Genomic DNA, 27,155 nt, shown 5'->3' on the forward strand with positions numbered 1-27,155 from the left:
TAGAAGGGTTTTTCCAATGTTCTGGAATTTTTTATGGTTTCAGGTCTTGAATTTAAGTCTTTGATCCATCTTTAGTTGATTTTTGTATAAGGTGAGAGAGAGGCGAGGATCCACTTTGATTCTTTTACATGTGGCTTGCCGATTATCCCAGCACCATTTGTTGAATAGGGTGTCCTTTCCCCACTTTATTTTGTTTGCTTTGTTGGAGATCAGTTGACTCTAAGTATTTGGCTTTATTTCTGGGTTCTCTGTGCTGTTCTGTTGGTCTATAGGCTTATTTTTTACGAGTTCCATGCTGTTTTGGTGACTATGGCTTTATAGTATAGTTTGAAGTCAAGAAATGTAATGCCTCCAGATTTGTTCTTTCTGTTTAGTCTTGCTTTAGCTATGTAGGCTCTTTTTTGGTTCCATATGAATTTTAGGATTGTTATTTTCCAGTTCTGTAAAGAATGATGGTGGTATTTTGATGGGAATTGCACTGAATTTGTAGATTGCTTTTGGCAGTGTGGTCATTTTCTTTCTTTCTTTTTTTTTTTTTGAGATGGAGTCTTGCTCTGTTGCCCAGGCTGGAGTGCAGTGGCATGATCTCAGCTCACCGCAAGCTCTGCCTCCCAGGTTCACACCATTCTCCTGCCTCAGCCTCCCAAGTAGCTGGGACTGTAGGCGCCTGCCACCACGCCTGGCTAATTTTTTGTATTTTTTTAGTAGAGACAGGGTTTCACCGTGTTAGCCAGGATGGTCTCGAGCTCCTGACCTCGTGATCCGCGCACCTTAGCCTCCCACAGTGCCTGGATTACAGGCGTGAGCCACTGCGCCCAGCCCCAGCAGTTTGGTCATTTTTATAATATCAATTCAACCCCTCCAAGAGCGTGGGATGTGTTTCTACTTGTTTGTGTTGTCTATGATTTATCTCAGCAGTGTTTTATAGTTTTCCTTGTAGAGATCTTTCACCTCCTTGGTTAAGCATATTCCTAAGTATTTTATCTCTTTTTTTTTTTTTGCGGCTATTGTAAAAGGGGTTGAGTTCTTGATTTGATTCTCAGCTTGGCTGCTGTTGGTGTATAGCAGGGCTGTTGATTTGCGTATGTTGATTTTGTATCCTGAAACTTTGCTGAATTCATTTACCAGTTCTAGGAGCTTTTTGGATGAGTCTTTAGGGTATACGATAATGTCCTTAGCAAACAGTGACAGTTTGATGTCCTCTTTACTGATTTGGATGCCCTTTATTTCTTTCTCTTGTCTGATTGCTCTGACTAGGACTTTCAGTACTATGTTAAATAGAAGTGATGAAAGTGGGCATCCTTGTCTTGTTCCAATTCTCAGGGGGAATGCTTTCAACTTTTCCTTATTCAGTATAATGTTGGCTGTGGGTTTGTCATAGATGGCTTTTTTACCTTAAGATATGTCCCTTCTATGCTGGTTTTGCTGAGGGTTTTAATCATAAAGGGATGCTGGATTCTGTCAAATGCTTAACAAAAACTATTTGTTTTAGAAGAATTTAAGTAGTAAAATTTCTTTTCTTATGGAATGATCCATTGGGTCCAATATTATTATTAATGTTACCAGTGATATCTAGGCTGCTAAACTCACAGGTAAATTATTTGATCTTCTAGCATCACTTGACAGGATTGATCATTCTTTCCTCCTTGATATACTTTCTTCAATTGGTGTCCTTACTCTCTTAGTTCACCTTCTATATTACTCTTTATTCCTTTTCAGTCTCCTTTGCTGTTTCTTTATTTTTTCCCCACAGTCTCATAATATTAGTGCCCATGAGCAGTCCTATGTCTTATTCTCATCTCTAGCTAGTCTCATGACCATGGAGGTCTCATCATTTAAATTCCATCCAAATGCTAATTACTCCTAAATGTATATCCTCTGCCCAGATGTCTCTCCCTTAAGGCCAACTTCTTGACACTTCTACTTTGATGGATTCACTTAGATCCCGAAGCTAACATGTCCAGAATTAAACTCCTAGTCTCCCCGCTCCCAAACTTGTTCACCTACTACCACCCAAACCAGCCCTCTTTGAATTGATGACAACTCCATCCTTCCAGTTGCTCAAGCTACTGGAACTATCTTTAACTCCTTTATTTTTTTTACACCCCACATCTAATCCATTAGGAAATCCTGCTTGTTCCCTTTTCATAATATCCAGAATCATACCATCTGTCATCATCTTCCCTGCTACCACCCTGGTATAAACTATCGTCAACTCTTACTAGGATTACCTTCCTAATGATCTGACTGTTTTCACTCTTGCCTTCCTATGACATAACTCTTAAAATACAAGTCAGATTGTGTCACTTCTCAACTCAGATTAAAAGCCAAAATATTTACAATACACCATAAACTGTGCAGTTTGCTTCCTTCTCCACTTTCTTACTCCCCTGATTTCACCTCCTATTTTTCTTTCTTTCATCACAACTGTCCAGGCACGCTGACCTTGCTGTTCTTTAAACACTCCAGACAAACACTGCCACCCTGGGGCCTCTGAACTGACTGGCCCCTCTGTCTAGAACACTCTTCTTCCAGATATAGCTAAGTCATCCAGGTCCTTTGTGTGGTTGCTCACATGCCACCTCCTTAATGAGGCCTCCCTGCCTGCCCTGTGCAACATTTCAAACCATCTGCTAGCCACTGGCTTGCCTATCTGACAGCCTCACTCTGGCACTCCTGCTTCCCTTTTCCTACTCTGCTTTTTTTCATACTGCTATTTTCGTCTTCTTACATACTATTTAATGTACTTATTTATTATGTTTATTGTTTAATATCTCTCTTTCTTTGCCCAGTCTGTGAAGGTAGGAATCTTTGTTTAATTTGTTGATATGCCCAAAGCAACTAGAATATCTCTGAGTATATAGTAAGCACAAAAACAAAGTTTTGTTAAATGAGTGAGTGAGTATCTGATTTTCCAGAAAAAAATAAAATTCACAATTTGTCTGAAGAATTTTATTAGACAAAAGTTTTATTTGAAAAATTTTGAGAAATTAAAAAACAAGTCAGTATTCCTTTTTTATCCCTTAATTGATGAATTAGGATCCATGAAAACACCATAACATTTACATAAAAAGTTAATAAATATAATTCAAATAACCTCTTCAGGGCAGTCTTTTTAATAAAACCAGCATTTCAGTAAAAATGGATTTTTTTCTATAATGATATGCAGCATAGTAGAATTTAATGCATATTTTAGATTTAAAAATAACCATGTAACAGTGTGTTGAGTGGGACCTTTTTATCTTGTTCCAGAATTGCAGCTAAAGCCTCAAGCTGAAGACAAAAGACTCTAAGTAACTAATTTTCTATATTTGGATTGCTATGAATAATCTACTAGCCACTGGGGCCAGAAATCTGCCTACAGAGACTGCCCTGGGGAACCATTCCTGAAGAACTGAGAACCTCCACCCCGATATGAGAATGAGTTTCGGCAAAGGGGGAGTGCAGTGTTCTTAATGAAAAACCACTCTCTCCTCTCCCAGTGCCTCTCTTCCCTCTTCAAATAACCACTTGTAATGAGTTTGGGGTACCTACAGATGGGGAGGGAGGGAGGAGTGGTCATTTCATTGCTTAGTTGGGTGTTTGCTTAGCTGCTGATTTGCTCATCTGCTCTTTTCTGCCTGAGCAGAGGTACAGGGAGTTGAGAACAATAGTGGGGCTATGGAGGGGTTAGTGTTCAACCTGTTTAATATGATCACTTCAAAGAGTAGCCAGGCTTGACCTATTTTATCTCTTGTCCTGTTCTAGAAGGCTGATAGTCAGGTAAAGGGACCTCAGCAGTTGTAGAAGGGGGATGGTGACTGCCTGGATTAGGGAAGTGTGCCAGGGGTTGGTCTCCCTGCAGGCGCCTCTGAAGCGCCCATGCAGTCACCCCATGGGGGAGTTAGCAGCTGTGTGTCTGCCACGTGGAGAGATATTGACAACCAGGGAGTGTCACAGAAGCAACAGCAAACAAGAAGAGGACTGTGACTGCATCCAGTTAAACCAGTCGATGTCCCTCCTTCCAGTTTTTAAGCCATGGGCTCCTAGAAGTAGTGAGGGGCAGGAGGCTTTTCTGAGTAAGAGCATGCTTCATTTTGAGAAGCTTATTCAAGCTGCTGAGGTTATGGGTTGAACTACAGGGAGAAAAGGGCTTCAAATTGATTTTGAGACAAGTCTTCAGAGTAACAAAACTAATAGTAGGATTGAGTCTTAATTATCTGGAGAAGGATAGAGTTCTAATAATTGGAAGCATCTAAAAAGTTACGGACTGGGACCAAGTTGTTTTTAAGCATCCCTAATATATCGGTGAGATATTGCTACATAATAAACCATTCCAAACGTAGTGACTTAAAACAACCATTTATTATTTCTCGGAAGTCTGCAAATTGACTGGACAGTTTTGCTGATCTGTGACAAGTTCAGCTGATGTGCACAGGGCTTGCTTATGCATGTGCTGTCAACTGAGGGTTGGCTGGGGGCTGGCCTAGGATGGCCTCAGTTGGGATGATTCTGCTTGGTTCCATGTTCTGGCAGGCCAGCCTGAGCTTGTTCTCATGGTGGTGGTAAGGGTCTGAAGAGAGAAAGTAGAAATACTCAAGTACTTTTTTAGACCTCTACTTGAGCTTTTCAAAGAGGCCACATTCAGAGTTATTGCGAGAAGGCAATACCAAAGGACATGGATATAGGGAGAGAAAAATTGAGGTCATTAATGAAATCAGTCTGCCACAATTACCAGGTACAAAAGGGGATTCCACATAGGAATGTTAAGGACAATTACTGGAAAAAATAAAACCATTTCATGTTTGTACTCTGAGGAGTAGAGGTCCCTTATAAACACCTTACAATTGATTTGTATCACTTAGGTTCCTAAAACAGAGATTACTTCTTTTATAGATGTATTCTTTCCAATGTATGAGTTTAACAGAAGTCATTTTTTTTAATAACCCTGGTTTTAAAATTCAGGGGTCATGCTGAATTCAAATATATATAATCTCCACAATAACTCAGTAGGTAATGTGTAAATTTGTTGTATCAGAAAAAAGATATAGATAAAATGTATGGAATTTGGTATTGAATAGTAGAAGAAACAAGGAAGGTTGCAAGTGGTTGCATCTGGATAGGCTGACCAGGGTATGTGGAGGGGTGAAAGAGGGGCTGCTGACTTTTATTATATAGTCATCCCTCAGTATCCCTGGGGGGATTGGATCCAGGACTACCTTCCCATACCAAAATCTGCAGATACTAAAGTCCCTGATATAAAATGGTTTAGTAGTTGCATATAACCCATGCACATCCTCCTGTATACTTTAAATCATCTCTAGATTACTTACAATACCTGATACAGTGTAAATGCTATGTAAATAATTGTTATACTGTATTGTTTAGGGAATAATGACAAGAAAAAAAGTCTGTACATGTTCAAAGCAGATGTAGTTTAAAAATATTTTATCAGCCGGGCGTGGTGGCTCAAACCTGTAATCCCAGCACTTTGGGAAGCTGGGGCGGGTGGATCATGAGGTCAGGAGTTTGAGACCAGCCTGGCCAACATGGTGAAACCCTGTCTCTACTAAAAATACAAAATTAGCTGGGCGTGGCTGGGCACAGTGGCTCACGCCTGTAATCCCAGCACTTTGGGAGGCCGAGGCGGGCGGATCACAAGGTCAAGAGATTGAGACCATCCTGGCCAACATGTTGAGACCCAGTCTCTATTAAAAATATAAAAATTAGCCAGGCGTGGTGGCGGGCACCTGTAGTCCCAGCTACTCAGGAGGCTGAGGCAGGAGAATCGCTTGAACTCAGGAGGCAGAGGTTGCAGTGAACCGAGATCACGCCATTACACTCCAGCCTGGGCGACAGAGTGAGACGCTGTCTCAAAAAAAAAAAAAAAAATTAGCTGGGCGTGGTGGCGCATGCCTGTAATCCCAGCTGCTCGGGAGGCTGAGGCAGGAGAATTACTTGAACCTGGGAGGTGGAGGTTGCAGTGAGCCGAGATTGCGCCACTGCACTCCAGCCTGGGTGACAGAGCAATACTCCGTCTCAAAAAAAAAAAAATTTTATCTGAGGTTGGTTGAATCCGTGGATGCAGAGCTTGCTGATACAGAAGACTGGATGTATATACGTATTTTAATGCATGTTTAGTTTTTAAAATATGTGGTGTATTACTTTGATTAAAATGAGTACTTTTTTTTTTTTTTTTGAGACGGAGTCTCGCTCTGTCACCCAGGCTAGAGTGCAGTGGCATGATTTCAGCTCACTGCAGCCTCCACCTCCCAGGTTCAAGCAATTCTCCTGCCTCAGCCTCCCGAGTAGCTGGGATTACAGGTACCCACAATGCCCGTCTAGTTTTTGTATTTTGAGTAGAGATGAAGTTTCACCATGTTGCCCAGGCTGGTCAGCTCCTGACATGAGGTGATCCTCCTGCCTCAGCATCCCAAAGTGCTGGGATTACAGGTGTGAATCACCATGCCCAGCCAGTACTCTTTTTTTTTTTTTTTTTTAAAGAGGAAAGTCCATTTTCAAAGCACCATTAACTGTGCTGTTATTTACATATATCTCATTTAATTTAACCCCACAATATCTCTGTGAGTTAGCCATTATTATTTCTACTTTAGACAGGCATATAGGCTTAGAGAAAGTAAATGATTTGTCCAGGTTACATAGTATTTATGTTCGAGGCAGGGTCAAGACTGGAACCAAGGTGTGTCTGCCTCCAAAGATTATTGTCTTAACTCCTAACCTATAGTTTAATATTTGAATATTCATTAACTAAGTTAGAAGCTGAAGTTTTATCTATTCCATACCACCATTATGTAGCCAACACAATGGATCTGGAATATGTATATATACACACACATAAAATATATATATATATATGTATGTATATATATTTATTTTTCTTCTCAATGCTCCCCCCCTGCCCCAGCAAACTTTAGTTGCCTCTTATCAATGTGTAGAATTGAAACAAGAAAGTAGCAATTGGGCAGATTCTTCCAGTGGGAATATGATGACTATCCAGCATGACTAAATTTGTTCTAAGGAAAAAAGAATACTTTTATTTAATACTTTGTGTATTATATTAGGCGCTTAGATTTGAGATACTAGATTATAGTAGCACATATATTTAGATTTTTTTAAGTTTGCTTGTATTTTTTAAAAACACATGTAATCATGAGTGTTTCAAGTTATCAATATCCAGCTGCATTATCCTACTTTAGGTGTTAAATTTGATACAGATTTATATAGTAATTGTCTTTAACAGATGCTGTAGATATTTATTGCAAAATGTCATTGAAAAGACAGATTTAATATATTAGTTTAGTACACATGGTGATTTAAAGTTTAGAATACATTAAATAAACTGTGTCAGAAATTATAAATAAACTAAAATGAGTAAAATTATTCTTAAATTGCTAGACAAGTCTTCACATTTAATGTTACATTAATGAGTTTTGTACAGAGACTGTTTGGAATAAAATCCTTTTTCATCAGATGTTGCACATATGCTTTCACTGTTTGTTTTTCTTCAAAGTAAAACTTAATGAAACAGCTAATAAAACCCAGTTTTGCTCCTGATTCTTGAAAGAAACAAGCCCTTGAAGTGCACCCGCTGTTTATTCTTTTGCACTGGTTTTTGCTACTTTTCAGCATGTAAATTTTCCAGTAATGGAAAACAGTCAAAGCCGTAAACCTTTTCTTCCAAGTCTTATAAACCCAGTGTTTATTTCTTATTTGTAGAGCGATTGCACAATGGAGACATGCTTTGCACACATACAGAGAAGTTTGGTCTCAGATCTTCATGTGCACCTCCTGCTGACTTCACCAGGGTGTAGTGCATGTGCATTTAAATGGCTGTTTATTATGTAAATGACCAAGAACCAGAATAGGGGTTTTAACTAACCTAAAAAACTGAGAGGTTTCAAAGTAAAAGACATATATGAGACTGCAGCCCTATTACTCTCATAAACCTCAAAGTGTGTTAGACTGGTGAGTAGTTTATGAAAAAGGATCAGCTTCTATGCATTAGAAGTGTATAGATGGCAGATGTGTATGTATCCCAAGTGGCTCTTTCACTAACCATAGAGTATACTATTCTGTCTTCCAGCTTCTTTCCGAGATGGATTGTTCGACTCTCTTGACAGGGTAGAGGTAGATATTTGGGTTGGGATGAGAGACTGTATTCTAAGGCAGCATTACTCAAAGCGTGGCCTACACTGGTAACAGTGCAAGGACATCAGTACAGAAATGGAAAATTAGTGACTAAAAACTTTTAAGCAGTTTGACAGAGTAATTTCTATGTCTGTTTAATAAAAGAATTGAGGCTTGTAATTTGTATGTTTTGGATTTTTTAATTTCATTTTTTTCTAGTAATTCAGTTTTAGTGTTTTTCACAAAAATATGTCTATGACAGATTGGAAATAAAATCCTGATCTTTCACCACAGATGGTTTGAAAAGCATTTGGTCTAGGATAAGATTTTCAAATGTTGATTTTTGTCCCTTTGCCCTATAACATAACATTATGTATTGAAGTTTGACTAAAGAAAAAAGGCCATGATTTATAATTCCAGTACCCTGAGAAAACAGCCTGATGACCCTGAATGGTTAATAAGCTAAGGGCTGGGTGGCAGAACCTCAAGTAGAGATATTCTGTGTTTTCTGTTAAGGGCAGGTCCATATGCTGTAGTGACCACTGAGTGGAGTTGGTGTTGACATTCTCGTATGAAAATTAGCAAGTCTAAGCAGGATTTATGTCTGAAGGAGGTGAGCTGTTGCCAAATTGAGATTTTAAAAACTGGGACAGGTTTTTAGGTGGAGGAAAGGAAAGAACAGAGAAAATTGAGTTGTGTACTTTTTGAAAGGTAATGTAAGATAGTCAGGAACTTTGGACTGCCATGGGGCATTATGTGGGTCTTGACAAAAAGTGAAGATAGGAATGGGAAAGCATGAATGACAAGTTTCATTTACTTCTCAGTTTTACCTCGGATAGCTTAGTGCTACTAAAAATCATGAGGCATGCCTTTTTGCTATGTATTTTATTCATTGCTGATACCCGGACAAGCAATCATAATATAAAGCTGAGATTAATGTGTTATATAACATAGGGTCATAAAAATGTACATAAGTCATAGAAATAGAGGTTTAGAGTTAGAAGGTCATATAATTCACCTTGTTCCAGATATTGCTTCTGTTAAGGCTGCTTATGATGCATTAGCTTTTTTGTAGCTACTCTATGGGTTCTGCTTATGAGGGTGGGGTGTGCTAGAAGGGAAATGTCCTTCAGTATAGCATTCAAGAAACAGAGGTCCCAATCCATGGTTGAACTAGGATGAGATTTACCCAGATGATTGTCTAAGAATGTGCTGAGCCTGGGGGAGATAGGAGGCTGATAAGGGAGAAAGCTGAAAGTTGGGGATGAGATCAGAGCTTCTTAATTACTGTGCCGTGACATGTTACTGTGCCACAAATAGGCTATAGGTGGACTCAGTATGCCGGTAGTCATAATTAACAGTGTTTTGTACAGAAACTTATAGCAGTTGAAATATTTGAGTAGTATTTGAAGGACTTCCTATGTAAACACCCTAGATTCACTAATTATTTTGGACTAAAAAGCTTTAGGTGTAGCACCTGTGCCCTGAAAATTCTCTGTAGTAGCAGTACCAGGTATTACCTGCCCCTGACCTTGAACTTTGAATCATCCCAGTACATTTGATTACACATTTCTGATAAACTTGTCATCATCAGTAATTTTATTTTTTAAGATTATGGTAAAATATATATAACTTAAAACTCACCATTGTAACCACTTAAAATTTAAAGAAAAATTTTAATTTTGGTAAAAAACATGACAACTCACTGTCTTAACAATTTTTAAATGTATACAGCTCAGTGGCATTAAGTACATTCACATTGCTATGTAACCATCAGCACCATCCTTTTCCAGAACTTTCCATTTTCCCCACTGAAACTTTGTACCTATGAAACAACTACTCCTCATTCCCATTTCCTCCAGCCCCTGGCAACCACCATTCTACTTTATGTCTCTGTGAATTTGACTACTTTCGGTAACTCATATAAATGGATTCATATATTTGTCCTTTTGTGACTGGCTTGTTTCACTTAGCATAATGCCTTCAGGGTTCATTCATGTTGCAGCGTGTATCAGAATTTCCTTCTTTTTTAAGATCGAATAATATTGTATATACGTGCCGCATTTTGTTTATCCATTCTTCTGTTAATGGATATTGGGGTTGCTTTCATCTTTTAAAATTTTGTTTTTTAATGCATGTACAATATTTGTATTTTATTTCTATTTTGTTTCCTATTATTATTTTATAGTTTTGCTGACTTAGAACATATGTATAATTATTTTTATTGCTTTTATTACCACTTTCTGATACTAGGTGTTGCTAAGTAAAACATTGATTTTGTTACTTCTTGACTGACTTAGTTTTTGCCTTTGGTGTTAATAATTAGCCAAAGTTACATTCTTGATAGAATTTCATAATGGTTTATTATTTGTTTTTGGGAATTAAAAAATACTTTTATTTCTAAAAATCATGTAATAATTCAATGAAATTTAATTAAGCTGATTCATTAAAAGGCCTTTTACGTTAGAAAATAAATTTACTGGTGCTGGGTGCGGTAGCTCACGCCTGTAGTCCCAGCACTTTGGGAGGCCAAGGTGGGTGGATCATGAGGTCAGGAGTTCGAGACCACCCTGGCCAAGATGGTGAAACCCTGTCCCTACTAAAAATACAAAAATTAGCCGAGCATGGTGGTGGGTACCTGTAATTCCAGCTACTCGAGAGGCTGAGGCAGGAGAATCGCTTGAACCCAGGAGGCGGAGTTTGCAGTGAGCCGAGATCACACCACTGCACTCTAGCCTGGGCAACAGAGCAAGACTCCATCTCAGAAAAATGAATAAATAAAATAAATAAATAAATAAATAAATAAATAAATAAATTTATTGGCAGGGCATGGTGGTTCATGCATGTAATCCCAGCACTGTGGGAGGTCAAGGTGGGAGGATCACTTGAGCCCAGGAATTTCAGACCAGCCTGGGCAACGTAGTGTGACCTCTTCTCTACAAAAAAATTAAAAATTACCTGAGCATGGTGGTGCATGCCTGTAGCCCTAGTTACTCAAAAGGCTGAGGTGGGAGGATGGCTTGAGCTTAGGATGTTGAGGCTGTGGTAAGCTATGATTGCGCCGCTGCACTCTAGCTGGGGTGACAGAGTGAGACCCTGTCTCAAAAAAAAGAGAAAATCAATTAATCAAAATATTTTAAATCACACATGAGTATATGTATTGTACATATTTTTGAATATTTCAAAGTTTTAATTTTTGAAGTAAACAGATATAAATGATTACTTTTATGAATTTTGATGAAGTTTGTTTTAAAAACATTTTAATGAATGCAGAAAGTTCCCTAACTCTATAAATAGATTTTATGTAGTTGAAAAAGCCTATAGTCCCCATTAGTTCCTTACACTTAAAAAATACTTATTTTTTTACAGATATTGTTCTTACTTTTCAATCTTATTGAATAACTTTTCATTAAAGCTACAAAGCCAGCATATTCACAAAACAAACACAGTATCAAAAAAGTTAGTCACTAGTTAGGTAATGAAATGACAATCGTCTCAAATTTGGATGTATGTGCTCAGTAGCTCTTTTTTTTTCCTCAGCCTAAATGCCTTACTGGCAAGGAAAAGTTACGAGTTGAAGACAAGGTGCCAAGCAAACTGCACTGGCACCTCACTACAAAAACTCAGCAGGAAAAGATTTGAACATTTTAAGGTTCTGCAAAGCAACAAGAAAAACCAAAGCTCTTTTTGAGATTGGTTCCAACAATGTTAGATTAAGCTAAATAAACCAGTTACAAGGTCACACCATTAAAAGCTAAAGCCAAACTGTCTCAAACAAGGATAGAAGCCCTCATTTTACCACCTAGTGTGAAAATTGTTTGAGGCCAATAAAGAAAAGGAAGAAGTGGTACTCTCAATACTAGTGAATGTATTGACGTTATATTGGATGGGATAAAGATAGCATTAATCCAGATTATTATCAAATGAGTCAGGTTTTATTTCAGATTGATGAATCTATACACATTAGAAAATGCTGAATTGCTGTATGAGTTATGATTCCTAAAGAGAAATTCTTGGAAAAATATCAGTTCTTTGTAAAGAAGTACCAAAACAAATTACTGGGGATGAAATATTGAAGGTGGTAAATTCATACTTTGAAACAAATAAAGTATGGAACCAGGCTTGAGTTTGTACACTGATGGGTGACTGCAAAAAAAGGCATAATGGCTTCACATCAAGGGTATTGTGAAGACATTGAATAGGATTCAAATAATTCAATGTTTTATTGACAGAGAAACTCTTGTGTAATATACTTTTCCTGTGTAAGAGTTCCACACTCTGATGTGTCTAAATGGAGAATCTACTGCAACTGAGGCTGCTTCACTTATGTCTGTTTTCAGTTTTATGTATACAACTTTGCACTGTTTCATACTAAAGTGCAGTAGATGTCCGAGGAAAAGTTTTGTCAAAAGTTTGGGAACTAGAAGGAGAACTGGAACTTTTTTGGTAGACAGTTCTTACTTTGAGTATTTGTTGAAAGGTAGTTCTTGGCTTGAAAATTAGTTTAATTAGATGAATAAATAAACCTAATAGAAAATCACCAGGACCTTTCAATAATATATTCATATGTATTGATAAAGTTTATGGATTCAGAAATTAAGGCAAACATTTGATCTTGGAAATGTGAGGTTAAAAATGATACAATTGTGGTTAGGCTGTGTCACTGAATAGAAAAGAATAATTATTAAGACAAGTAGAGCAACATTTGTATACGTAAGGAAGAGATACATTATTGGTTTGAAATGTATGATTTCAATTGTATTCACAATTTATTCATATTGTCATAAGAAATTTTCAAATCACATTTGTCCATGAAAATAAAGGAAGATCTATTTGATTTACTGAATGATGGCACTTGTAGAGTACAATTTAAGTTTGAATTATCCAAATTCTGGTTAATGATGAGAAAGGCATTTCCATCATTTGGAGAAAAGTGATAAATATTCTCTACAGAGACAGAAAGTAGATTAGTGGTTGCCTAGAGCTGAGATAGGAATGGGGATTGAATGTAATAATTATACAATATAAAGAAAATGTATTTAAGGTTTTATACAAAGTTTCATATAAACACCACAAAATCCCCTCCAGTTTACCCTATTATTCAAATATGAATTTCTATGTATGTCATGATGGGAAAAGGGTTAGAAAACATTGGACTGAATCATATGACAACCAGAAGGCTGAGTCAAGAATGTCAATTATGACAGGTCCCAAATTCAGCAGCTTAAGAAAATTCAGAGAATGGAATAAAAAACAAGGACTGGGAGAGTATAACTTGTCTGTGTCTTATGACTTACTGATGTGGGGGATAAGGGTCAGCAGTAGTGGCATGATGGGTAGATGTTGCAGCATGACGAACCAGACTAAGCTGGACTAAGCCAATAGCTGTTCAGATGGCTTCTGAATTATGTGGAAGAATAAAGGCCTGGAAGGAGAAATAAATTATACTAACATTTTATATCTCACTCATGGGTATAGATCAAAGTAAGTTAACTCTTGGAACCTATTTTTTGTGAAAAAATACTCACTAGCAATTACTTTGTACTAGGATCTATTTGCCTATATTCTCTGAGCTTATCTTCACCTTGGTTAGTAATAGTACCAATTATAATTCACATTGGTTAGTAATAGTACCAATTTATAGATGAGGAAACTAAGGTCACATGTATTGGTGGCAGAGTTGGATATCAACTCAGGCAGTTTGTCCTTAGAGTCTGTGAAGTCTGTAGTGACACTAACCACCAGTCTCCTTCTAAATTCCCACCACTGGTCTCAAGGCAGGCTGTTCTTATGGCCTGAGGCTTCTTCTGTGTAGGATGTGGCCTACAATGGATGCTACATACAGTAGGGCCTCTTCACGGACTGTGACTTGGGTGTTTCTGGGCTTCATCGCAGTTGTTTGTGGGAAAGCTGAAGAATATGGTCTGATCTTAAAATGTTCTGGGAGAATATTTAGTCTGCAGCAGCCCATCATCTATGTAGCTGTGCTTAAGAATATGGTAGCCACTAGCCACATGTGGTTATTCAAACTGAAATTTAAATTAAGTAAAATAAAATAAAATAAAAAATTTTGCTCCCTAGTTGGATTAGCCACATTTCAAGTGGCTACTACCTACATTTTGGACAGCACAAAGAACAGTTCTATCATTGCAAATGATTTTATTGAACAATAACATTCTTACTTGTCCGCTTCTCCATGTCTGCCACATCAAAAGTGGGAACTCATTTCCTAGTAACTTCTTACTCCTCAGTTTTGCTAACTTCTCATTGGCCCCACTGATTCTGTCTTTCCTCATATGGCAAAAGATAGTGATACCAGAAAATAATATATTATTTTGGTGATCATTAGTTGCTGGTTCATACAAGATTTCCTTTCTTAAAACAGTTCTGCAGTACTATTGACCTTGCTCTCCTTACCTTTTCCTGCAAGTATAACAATTACCAACTAAATTCTATATAATCCCTACGTGACAGCCTGTCACATTTGGGCTCTTGTTGAACTTGATAGCATCTGTAGCTCTTGTGTCTTAAAATTGTGTGTTACTGTTAAGCAAGAGCTCCTGTTTTTGTGTAGTTGGATATTTTTTAGCCTACATTTAGGTTTTTATTTTTATTCATGATAGGTATCATCTCATTTTTGCTTGTGACTTTTTAAAAAATTAAATCTTAAATTGTTTACCTCACAATCATTATTATTATTATTATCATCATCGTTTTATACCCAGCTTTGATAAACAACATTCCTTTGTAGGTTGGTCAAAACTAACTTCTTATTTTATTTTTATTTTTTGAGAGAATTACCAGATGGGCAGCATGCTATAGAAGTGGTGAGTTTGATCTCAACCAAATCATTTAGAATGCTTTCAGAGGTGGGCAGTCATGTGAGTAAGGACTCCAGAAATCATATCAAATTTGAAGAACCTGACAATATTGAATGTGGAGAAAAATAGACTATTTTAGATATTCGAAGGACTGTGTTGAATGAGCAGTGTTGATCAGAAGGAAAATTTATTATATTGGGAGCAAATTTATCAAGGTTAATTATAAAAAAAAATGTGTTGCTAGTGTATCCAGAGCAACACACATAGGTTATCAAGACCTTGGAGCAACACCAGATAAGAAGGGTAACTGTAGGATGTTTCCATTCTTGGGGCCACAGAGGTGAAGTGAGCCAAAAAAACACAGTGGGAATTAAACAAAGTAGGGTTAAGTTTTCATTAAAGGCTGTGCCTGCATTCACCACTCCTGGTTGCCCTGGCAACGGGGCTCCCTTGCATGCTAATGACATTATAATGTGAAAAAACACATGCAAATGCAGTAAATAGTAATTAGAGTCAGAGGCATACATGGAGTAGTGAGCTCCACCTTGGGAAGGTCTGCGAAGAGCTGGTGATGGATTTGTACTGAAGACAAAGAAAGAGGTGGTAAAAGAAGGGCTTTGAGTTACACATAAAAGGGTTAAGTTGAGTCTGCATAAAGCACACTCTTGCATTTGTGTCCTGCTGATGATACCTGTTGTTTCTCCAGCAGAATGTAGTCAGTCAGAAGTCATGCTACTTGTACCTCCAAATTGTGCTAACTATTCTACCTGTTGGCAACACTGTATGGAAAGAATCTGAGCTGTATTTTGGCTTAGATTTGGAGCAACTATAGCAGCCTGCTGCTTGGAATGCTCTCTTTGCCTACGCTGGCAGGGCTGGGCCTGCCCAGACAAGGTAGTGGGACCAGAGTATGTAGCCAAAAGTCTGTCTTGGTGAAGAAAGAGAAGACTTAATTCTATGTTGCTTCAGATGAGACAAGTAGGACCAATGAGAGACTCTGGTTAGTATAAGGTGTAACTGACAAATATATGCTGTTTGCCCCTGGAAACGTGTAAGGAGATGATGGTTGACTGCCTGTCTCAGGTGTGATAGATATGGTTTTTGATTTGCCTGAATGGTTAGACTCAGAGTTTATATATCTGTGCTCAGTTTCATTCTTCCCTTTCTTTCATTTTATTCAGGCTCTTTTCTGTCTTTTCTATTTTTATTGTTATATATCTGTGTGTTTTTCTTGAAATTGCTAGAAAATGTTATATTGCCTGCTTCACAATATTCCAATTCTTTGATTGATCTTTTTGGTGTCAGTTGAACTATAGGTCATTGACTAAAAATTGCCATGAATAGCCATTCAAATCCATAAACTTTTACTGTTCTTTTTCCTCTCTCAATTAAAAAAAGGTTAAAAATTTCATAAGGAAAGCACATATGCTTTTACAAAAATTTGCATTCATATATTATTAAAAATTCAAGCAATATAGAAATATATATGATAAACTGTTTAAGTATCTTTCTGTCACCTTTCACCCTGTCTGCTAACTCCCAATCTCAAACTCCTCCTCAGAGATTACCAGTGTTAACAGTTTGGGATTTGACTTCAAAACTTCTTCCTATGCCTTTATATATATTGTTATTATATATTATAATATATACTATTAAGACATTATTAATGGCTAATACTTATTTAGTGATTGCTATGTGCCAGACATTGTTCACACCTTTTTAATATATTAATTCATCTAATCCCTTTGAGGGATTTTGAGAAAGGAAGGCCAAGAGGAGTTTAGAAACTTGTCCAAAGTGGCACGCGAAATTTATATGCCAGGAAATCTGTTTGGGATGGAGCTCATGCATTTTCTAACCATACTATCCTGCCTGCTTTAGTGGTAACATATACATATAGAATGATCATTCTTCAAGTAGCCTTTTTTCATTTAATATTTAAGAAGTCATTCTATATCAGCAACTTTCTTCTACCAGCTTTTTAAAATTGTTGTATTTTATTCTCTTGTTCAGATGCACCATAATATAAACATTCCCTTATTGATGGGCATTTAATTTGCTATTACAAAAGATAATTTAATAAATATCAATGCAATACAATTTTTATATGTACATATATATTTCTAGGGGAGTAGACGGTTCAAAATAGAATTGCTGAATGATAGTTTACATTTTGATAGATAATGCAAAATTGGCACAATTATTGCTCCTTTCTTCTTCTTCTTTTTTTTTTTTTTTGAGTCAGAGTTTTGCTCTTATTGCCCAAGCTGGAGTGCAGTGGCACGATCTCGGTTCACTGCAACCTCCACCTTCTGGGTTCAAGTGATTCTCCTGCCTCAGCCTCCTGAGTAGCTGGGATTACAGGTGCACACCACCACACCTGGCTATATTGCTCCCTTCTTGAAGCACCCTTCGCTTGGCATCTGGGATGCTGCCCTCTTGGTTTTCCGCCTGCCCCAGTGACTGTCCCTTTTTGGCTTCCTCTGCTGGTTCTCTTCATCTTCCAACAACTAGACATTGGAGTGCATCACTGCTCAATTTTTGAACTTCTCTTCTCCAATTAGACTCACCTTGTAGATCTTATTCAGTTACTTGGCTGTAAATACTATACAAACACACACACACACACACACACACACACACATATGTGTGTATATATACGTGTATGTTTGTACTATATGTGTATAGATACACATATGTATATATCTGTACTATATGTATATCTATACATAGGTATAGATGTACTATATATGTGTATCTATAAACATATTTATAGATGTATATATGTACTATGTATATATACTATATGTGTATATGTATGTGTACTATGTATATGTATATATACATATATAGTATATATACATACATGTATATAGTATATATGTATATATGTACTATATATATACATATATAAAATATACACTATATATATTGTGTGTATATATGTGTATATTGTATGTGTATATATATATCATATCATGATAGGCACTGGCATTTTAGTGCCTATCATGAACTTCAGGCTTTTGTATCCAACAACCAAATTGACATTCCATTTGAATGTCTGCCAGTCATCACAAATTTAACTCATTTTTACTACCCAGCCCCCAACCTGTATCTTCCACATACTTCCCTATGTCAGTAATCATTAGCTTCCAATTGCTCAAGACAAAAACCCAGTGTTACCCTGGACCACTCTTTTTCTCTTACATTCCATGTTTGATCCATTAGCAAATCCTAATAACTCTATCTTCCACATATATTCATACTCGACCACTTTTAACACCTTCATTGTACCACCTTAGCGCAGGCTGTCATCTTTTTTCACCTGGCTTCCTAATTAATGCCCTCTTAGAATCTGGTCTCTAAACAATAGCTAGAGTTATCCTTTTAAAATGTGAGTTCAGTCATATAACTCTTTTACTAAAAACCTTCCGGTGACTTCCTATTTAGTCTGAGTGAAAATCAAAGCTTTAACCATGGCTTCCAAGGCCTTCAGTGGTTCCTCTCGTCTTTCTTCTCTAATCTTTGTCTTCTATCATTCTCCCACTCCTTTATTCTGCTCCAGCCATCCTAATATCCCTGCTGTTTCTGTGGCGCCTCGGCCCTTCCTGTTCCCACTATCTGTTGTGTTCTTCCCCTAGATAGCTTTATGACTTGCCCCCTTACTTTCTTCATATCTGTGCTCAAATGGCACCTTATCAGTGAGATCACACCTGCCCACCCTACGTAAAATAGCATCTTCTCAACACTATCATTTTTAATCTTTCTTACTCGGATTTATTCATTTATTTGTTTATCTATTATTATTATTTTTTTATCTGAGATGGAGTCTCTCTCTGTCACTTAGGCTGGAGTGCAATGGTGTGACCTCGGCTCACTCAGCCTCCCAGGTTCAAGCGATACCCCTGCTTCAGCCTCCTGAGTAGCTGAGATTACAGGCATCTGCCACCATGCCTGACCAATTTTTGCATTTTTAGTAGAGACAGGGTTTCACCATGTTGGCCAGGGTGGTCTCAAACTCCTGACCTCAGGTAATCCGCCTGCCTCAGCCTCCCAAAGCGCTGGGATTACAGGCATGAGCTGCTGCACCTGGCCAATTTATTTAGTTTTATTGCACTTAAAACCACTTGTTCTACATATTTAGTTGTTTGTTGTTTATCTTCTTCATCCTGCACTCTACCCTGCCCTCCAGAATGTAAGCTCCATGAAGGCAAGAACTTGTCTGTTTTGTTCACTGCTGTATTCTTAGGACCTAGCACAGCACATTGCATGAAGTAAGTGCTCAATAATATTTATTGAATGAGTGAATGAACGAGTGAGAAATTGGAGAGCATTTCCCTCCAAACAGACTGTACTAATTTATACTCCTATCAAAAATAAATGAATATGCTCATTTTTCTCATATGCTCTATAAAATTGGATATTGCTGATTTCTAAATTTTTTTATTCTAAAAGATGAAAAGTTACATATTTTTAGATTTGCATTTTCCTTATTAATACTAATGTTGAGCATATTTTTATATGCGTATTGGTCATTGGTATTTCTTTTAGGCATTTATTGTTTATGTCCTTTGTTTTATTGTGAGTTTATTTTTAAATATTGATTTGTAAAAATAACATATATGATTATATATTATATAATAATATAAAAATATATAATCCTATATAATAATATATAAAAGAGTAAAATATATTATTATAGTATTCTTCATTTTCTATAGGTATTGCAAATATTTTCCCCAGTCTGTCACTTTTCTTTTAACATTGTTAACAGTATCATTTGTCATATAGAAGTTTTTAAGTTTTAATAAATCTTCCAGTCTTTTGCTCAGTGGCTTTGGGTTGGTGTTTTGCTCAGGAAATCTTTTACAACTTCAAAATTGGAAAATATTCTTTTGTATTTTCCCCTACACCTTTATAATTTTAATTTTTGTATTTAGGGTTTCAACCCACTTGGAACTTATTTTGGGGGGTTTTGTGATGTGGTAGTGTAGCTTATTTATTTTATTTAATGGTGAGCCAAATGACTTCATACTGATTACTGACCCATCTGTTTGTTCATCTCTGACCCCAAATCCCCAATTTATCATATATTAACTTCTAACATATATGGCCCTGTTTTCTAGAGTCTGTTTTCTAATTTCCTGATCTGTTTTCTTCTCTGTCACAATAACATGTTTTAATTTTTATGAATGAGTCAGGCACAGTGGCGCATGCATGTAATCCTAGAACTTTGGGAGGCTGAGGCGGGCAGATCACCTGATGTCAGGAGTTCGAGATTAGCCTGGCCAACATGATGAAACCCCATCTCTACTAAAAATACAAAAATTAGCCGGGCATAGTGGCAGGCACCTGTAATCCCAGCTACTCGGGAGGCTGAGGCAGGAGAATTGCTTGAACCCAGGAGGCGGAGGTTGCAGTGAGCTGAGATTGTGCCATTGCACTCTGGCCTGGGTGACAAGAGTCAGACTCCATTTCAAAAAAGAAATTTTTTTTTACAAATGCACTTTAGTTGATTTTTATATCTGTTAATTCTACATTTTTAAATTGTCTTTACTCCTGTGCATTTTCTTTTTCAGATACATTTTAGAATTACTTTACAAGTTTTATAAAAAACTTGTTGGGATTTTTTCCGTATTCTACAGTAAAGTTGTGCAGTTTTCTTGATATTAGGTATTTTCCTGGATATTTGACATATAACTCTCTTAATTATTCTATTAATTTTTCAATTGAAGGCCAGGTGTGGTGGCTCACATCTGTAATCCCAGCACTATGGAAGGCAGAGGCCGGCACATCACACGGTCAAGAGATCGAGACCATCCTGGCCAACATGGTGAAACCCCGTCTGTACTAAAAATACAAAAATTAGCTGGGCGTGGTGGTGTGTGCCTGTAATTCCAGCTGCTTGGGAGGCTGAGGCGGGAGAATCACTTGAACCAGGGAGTCGGAGGTTCCAGTGAGCCGAGATCATGTCACTGCACTCCAGCCTGGCAACAGAATGAGACTCTGTCTCAAAAAAAAAAAAAAAAAAAAAAAAAATTCAGTTGAGTCCCTTAGATTATTTAGGTGAATAAATCATCTGCAGTTTTATCACTTTTTGTAATAAGATCTCATTTACTTTTTTTTTTTTTTTTTTTTTTTTTTTTTTTGAGACGGAGTCTCGCTCTGTCGCCCAGGCTGGAGTGCAGTGGCGGGATCTCGGCTCACTGCAAGCTCCGCCTCCCGGGTTCACGCCATTCTCCTGCCTCAGCCTCCCAAGTAGCTGGGACTACAGGCGCCCGCCACTACGCCCGGCTAATTTTTTGTATTTTTAGTAGAGACGGGGTTTCACCGTTTTAGCCGGGATGGTCTCGATCTCCTGACCTCGTGATCCGCCCGCCTCGGCCTCCCAAAGTGCTGGGATTACAGGCGTGAGCCACCGCGCCCGGCCCCATTTACTTTTTATGTCTAATGTTGAACTGTAGTCATGATAGTGAGCATTCTTCTATTTTTCTTTGCTTTAATGGAAATGTTTATAATATTTAATCATTAAGTATGTATTTTTATTAGATTCTTTTCATCAGATTAAGAGAAATGTCTTATAGGTTTTTTCAGAGCTTCAAAAATTTGAGATTGAGTGTTGAATTCTATTCAAAGTTTTAACATCTATCAGTGTAATTATATGGACTTTTTCTTTTAATTCATTAATGTAGTGATTACATTGACAGATTTTCTAATGTTGAACCATCCTTGCATTTCTATTGTAACTCTTTCTTGATAATGAATGCATTATTCATTTGTGGATTCAACTTGATATTATCTCATTTAAGATTTTTTCTGCTACATTTCTCTTATTTTTAAATATAGTTTTTATTTTTCTTTCTTTTTAGTCTTTATTTAGTAAGATTGCTTTTGATTGCCAAAGCAATAGATTCTGGCTAACCTAAGTAACAACAGTGATGTATTTTCAAGATAAAGATTGTCTTAGCCTGAGTTTCCTCTAGAGCCTGAGATAAAGGTTAGTGTGATGATATTTATTTTGGAAAATAATTTCATGAGCCAAGAATACAAGACAGGGAGAGTAAAGCAGAGGAGGAAGAGTCACTTATAAATATGTGTTATTGAGTCCCTACTGGTGCCTGGTTCTTAATTCTTCTAGAATCTTCTGAGGAGACTCATGAAATAAGGCAGTCCATTCATGAGATGAAAGGGAGAGAGCATTTATCCATTGGTTTCCTTTGCTTATAGATCAAAGGTGGCCCCATAGTGTTTACTACCTGCAGTTCCAGATTATGCACATGTACTGTATGAGTGCGGAGTTAAGTGTGGAATTCCACAGCCAGAATGGCAGGGTCACAGTGTGAGGGTTGACCAGTTGCACATGTGTGAAGCTGGTTAAAGCCTCCATGGAATGGTAGTGGGAGCTGTGGCTAGAGTAAAAGGTAGAATTGAAAGGTTTTGGAATGGTGCTCAAGAGGTGTCCAATACACTGGGATTCTTCACACTCTTGATATGCGCTCCCCTGGCCAGTTCTCTCTTTCTAAGCTCTTCCGAGCAGAAGCTATATTCTAACATTGTAGCAAGCTTTTGTTGTTGCTCCCATACTGTCTCTCAAAGTTGTGAGAGCCTAGGTCCTTCACAAAAAGCTTTCTAATGTCTTAAGTAGAGCCTAATGTCATGTTAAAATATGTTTGACTGGATTTTTAGCTTTTTATTTCAATTATGATGTACTCTCTTCCTATATAAGTGATATTGTTTAATTAATTAATTTAGACTGAATCTTGCTCTGTCGCCCAGGCTGGAGTGCTGTGGCATGATCATAGCTCACTGTAACCTCAGACTCTTGGGCTTAAGTGATCCTCCTACCTCAGCCTCGTGAGTAGCTGGGACTATGGCATGTGCCACTATGCCTGGCTGATTTTTAAATTTTTTGTAGAGATGGAGTCTCACTATTTGCCCAGGCTTGTCTTGAACTCCTGGCCTCAAGCAGTCCTCCCACCTTGGCCTCCCAAAGTGCTAGGATTACAGGCATGAGCCACCGTGCCTGGCCCCCTTTTAGTTCCCAGGAAACAAACACCCTTCAAGCTTTGGGAAAAAGTTAGTCATACTCAGAAAAGGGGACATTTATTTCTTTGTATTTAGGGATAGAATGTTACATAGATTAGCAATATCATTCATTCCATGAGTCACTTTATTTCTGCTTTGTCATAAAAATAGGAGAGAAGCAGGGAATTAAGAAGAGAGAAGTTGGAAATATTGATAAGATTTTTTTTCTCTGATAAACTATAAGCAAAATTCATTCAAAATGGATTAAAGTTTAATCCATTTATACAGATTTATTATACATTTCAGAAATACTATAAGAAAATAGAAATGAATATTATTGTCTTTGAAGAAGATTTTCTTAAACTTTGAAATGAAATGGTAAAAATCACTTAAAATGTAGCATACAATTACGGTTGTAATCAAACTGTAATAAAAATTAAAGGGGAAATACGCATTAGGAAATACTTGTTAAAAAGTATGCAAGATAAAGATTAGTGTCTTGATTCTATAGAAACTTAAATATATTAGTAAAAAACATTAACACCCAAGTGTATTGCAAAGCAGATAATTCACAGAAGAAAGTATGCAATTCATGTTTCAGCTATGTCTTGCTTTGTAACAAACTATCCCAAAACTAGCCTCATGAAACAACAATTAAATTAGTTATATCTCATGATTTTTTTGGTCAGGACTTCAGCCAGGGCTTTGCTGGGCAATTCTTCTGCTTTATGTAGTGTTACCTGGGATCACTTGGTAGTGTTCACTTGGCAGCTGGGCTGGTTTGGAGGGCCTAAGATGGCTTCACTAACATGCCTGGTGCTTGACAGGACAACTGTTAAGGGTATACTGGGATCTTATGGGGTCGTGGGGCCTGTTTATGTGGTCTCTTCAGCAGGAGAGTTGGACTTCCTACATAGCTTCTCAGGGCTCCAAACACGAATCCAGAAACATCTGGTCCTCTTTAAGGCTAGGCCTGGAACTGGCAGAGGGTCATTCCCCTGGGATTAGCTGAAGTAGTCACAGGCTAGCCCATTTTCAGGGGGAGGGGAAATAAAACCCTCTCCTCTTGATGGGAGGAGTGTCACAGAACTTGTTGCCATCTTTAATTTGCTACAGTTATTAATAACAGAAATACAAAATAAAGGCAACATTGAAATACAGCTTTTGATACATCAAATTAGCAAAGAATAAAAACAAACTGTATAGATTTATAAAACAACCAGAATGATAAAAACCAGTCCTGGCATAGGTGCAGTGAAACAGGCATTCTCATGCATTACTGGTGGCATTGAAAGGCAGATTTTGAAAAGATCTTGGCACTATAAATCATAAATGTTAAAAATATCAATATTTGACTAAAAATTGTACTGTTTGAATTCTCAGGGGAAAAACTATTGGCAAGGATACACATTATTTGTGAAAAACTTATTTTAAAAAAATAGATTACAAAGTTGTATTTATAGTATGACTTAAACAATTCCTAAGAATTAAAAATGCACTAGAGGAAAATACATTACAGTTTAATCAGGCTTCTCTTTGTGTGATTAAATTACAGATTTTTTTCCACTGTGATTTTACTTGTTGAAGAAAAAAGCAATAAGTGTTTTATGACCTAGTATTCTAATTTAGAATAATTTCAGCATAAATCATTACAATCAAATGGATAGAAATATAAACCCCTTGTCATGGCCAACAAGTCCCTAGATGATCTGGCTCTATTGGCTTTTTTGTTCTTCATGTACACCAAACTCATTCCTGCCACAGGACCTTTGCAAAGTTATTTTCTGTCCAGAATTCCTTTCTCTTAGATCGTGGTGTTGCTTGCATTTTTACTTTATTTAGATGCCTTTGTTTTATTCAAATGTCAAGACTTATGAGAGGGTTTTTCAGGTTATTTATATGAAAAGACTGCTTTCTATACCTTTCCAGTAGCTATTCTATTTTAATCTTCAGTGCACTTATCACTATGACATAATATTATATAACTTCAACTTTACTTATTATCTATCTTCCTTCATTCCTCTCATGTTTTATGAGGGCAGAGACTATGTTCTGTTCGTGTTGTTTTCATTGTAAAAGTTACTATAGTTTAAATATGTTTTATTGTTTATGTATTTATTTGCTGTTTCCCATATCAGAATATAATCTTGCCAGGGCAGAGATTTTATGTATCTTGCTCACTAGTGGTTTCACTAGTACATAAAACATAATAAGCATTCAATAAGTATTTTTGGATAAATGAATGGGTTTAGGATTCATATAAAATAACTAGGTTTTTGAGATATTTGTGACATATTTACCTCTTGTCAAAACAGTGATACCTGAAAATTGGGAACAAACTTTGGTATATTTCAAGTATAAAAGACCTTAGAGTACTTAGGTAATAAGAGCGTTAAATGCTCAAAATTAAGAAAATAGAAAAAGGCTCCTAAAAAGATACAGAAATAGATCTAAACATATAGTATGTAAAACACATTTATTTTTATGAATACTTATTACAAATATGAAAATACAGCTGAATTGCTTCAGGTAAATGAGCTCTAGAAATCTTTGATGTGCTTAAAGTTTGATAAAATAAGAAATGATACTTAGAACTCCAATTACATGTTTTTTTAGGCCACTTATGTCTCACAGCTCACTATGCTCTATTGATTTTTTCAGTTTTTTTTTTGGTCTGTTTCATTTCGGATAGTTTCTATTGCTGAATTCACTAAGTTTACCTTCTGCAGTCCCTAATCTCCTGTTAATTATATCCAGTATATTTTTCAGTTTAGATATTGTATTTTTTTTTATCTTTAGAAGTTTGATTAGGGTCTTTTTAATATCTTCTATTTTTCTGCTCATTATTCTCATGCTTTCTTCTACTTTCTGGAACATGTAAGAGTATATTTATGATAGCTATTTTCATGTCCTGGTCTGTATTAGTCCATTCATCACACTGCTGTAAAGAACTACCTGAGACTGGGTAATTTATAAAGAAAAGAGGTTTAATTGACTCACAGTTCTGCAGGCTTATCAAGAAGCATGACTGGGAGGCCTCAGGAAACTGACAGTCATGGCAGAAGGTGAGGGGGAAGCATGCACATCTTCACAATAGTGCAGCAGGAGAGAGAGAGAGAGCAAGAGTAAAGGGGGAACTGCCACACACTTTTAAACCATCAGATTTTGTGAGAATTCACTCACTATCACAAGAAAAGCAATGGAGAGATCTGCCCTCATGATCTAATCACCTCTTACCAGGCCCCTCCTACAATTCGACATGAGATTTGGGCGGGGATACAAATCTAAACCGTATCATTCCACCTTGGCCCCTCTCAAATCTCATGTCCTTCTCACATTGCAAAATACCATTATCTCTTTTCAACAGTCCCCAAGTCTTAATTCATTTCAACATTAATTCAAAAGTCCAGAGTCCAAAGTCTCATCTGAGACAAGGTAAGTCCCTTCTGCCTATGAGCTTGTAAAATAAAAAACTAATTACTTCTAAGATGCAATGGGTATACAGGCATTGGGTAAATGCTCCCATTCTAAATGGGAGACATTGGCCAAAACAAAGGGGCTACAGTCCCCATGCAAGTCTGAAACCCAGCAGGGCAGTCATTAAATCTTAAAGCTCCAAAATAATCTCCTTTGACTCCATGTCTCATATCCTGGGCATGCTGATGCAAGGGGTGGGCTCCCATGGGTTTGGGCAGCTCCGCCTCTGTGGCTCTGCAGGATACAGCTCCCATGGCTGCTTTCCCCGGCTGGTTTTGAGTGCCTACAGCTTTTCCAGGTGCATGGTGCAAGCTCTTGGTGGATCTACCTTTCTGATGTATGGAGGACAGTGGCCCTTTTCTCACAGGTCCACTTGACAGTGCTCCAGTGGGGACTCTGTGTAGGGGCTCCAACCCCACATTTTCCCTCTGCACTGCCCTAGTAGAGGCTCTCCATGAGGGCTCCACCCCTGCAGCAGACTTCTGCCTGGACATATAGGCATTTCCATACATCCTCTGAAATCTAGGTGTAGGTTCCCAAACCTCAATTCTTGCCTTCTGCACACCTGCAGGCCCAATACCACATGGAAGCTGCCAAGGCTTGGGATTTGCACCCTCTGAAGCCGTGGCCCTAGCTGTACCATGGCCCCTTTTAGCCACAGCTGGAGCAGCTGGGACACAGGGTGCCATGTCCTGAGGCTGGACA

At 37.4% G+C, this 27,155-nt stretch overlaps 1 protein-coding gene across 12 annotated transcripts in view, besides 1 other annotated feature; it reads left to right on the forward strand.

Annotated features, from left to right (window-relative positions):
- ATG10 (autophagy related 10) overlaps nt 1-27,155 on the forward strand; it is a 284,111-nt gene that overhangs the window by 44,146 nt on the left and 212,810 nt on the right. The gene's annotated exons all lie outside the window — the stretch shown is intronic.
- Nucleotides 6,895-9,696: an enhancer, noted in NCBI's record as "VISTA enhancer hs1432". NCBI's record gives its function as "enhancer in: limb[10/11]" and the evidence as "EXISTENCE:transgenic organism evidence [ECO:0001131][PMID:17130149]".

The sequence above is a fragment of the Homo sapiens genome, chromosome 5, assembly GCF_000001405.40.
Source record: "Homo sapiens chromosome 5, GRCh38.p14 Primary Assembly".
Taxonomy (NCBI): domain Eukaryota; kingdom Metazoa; phylum Chordata; class Mammalia; order Primates; family Hominidae; genus Homo; species Homo sapiens.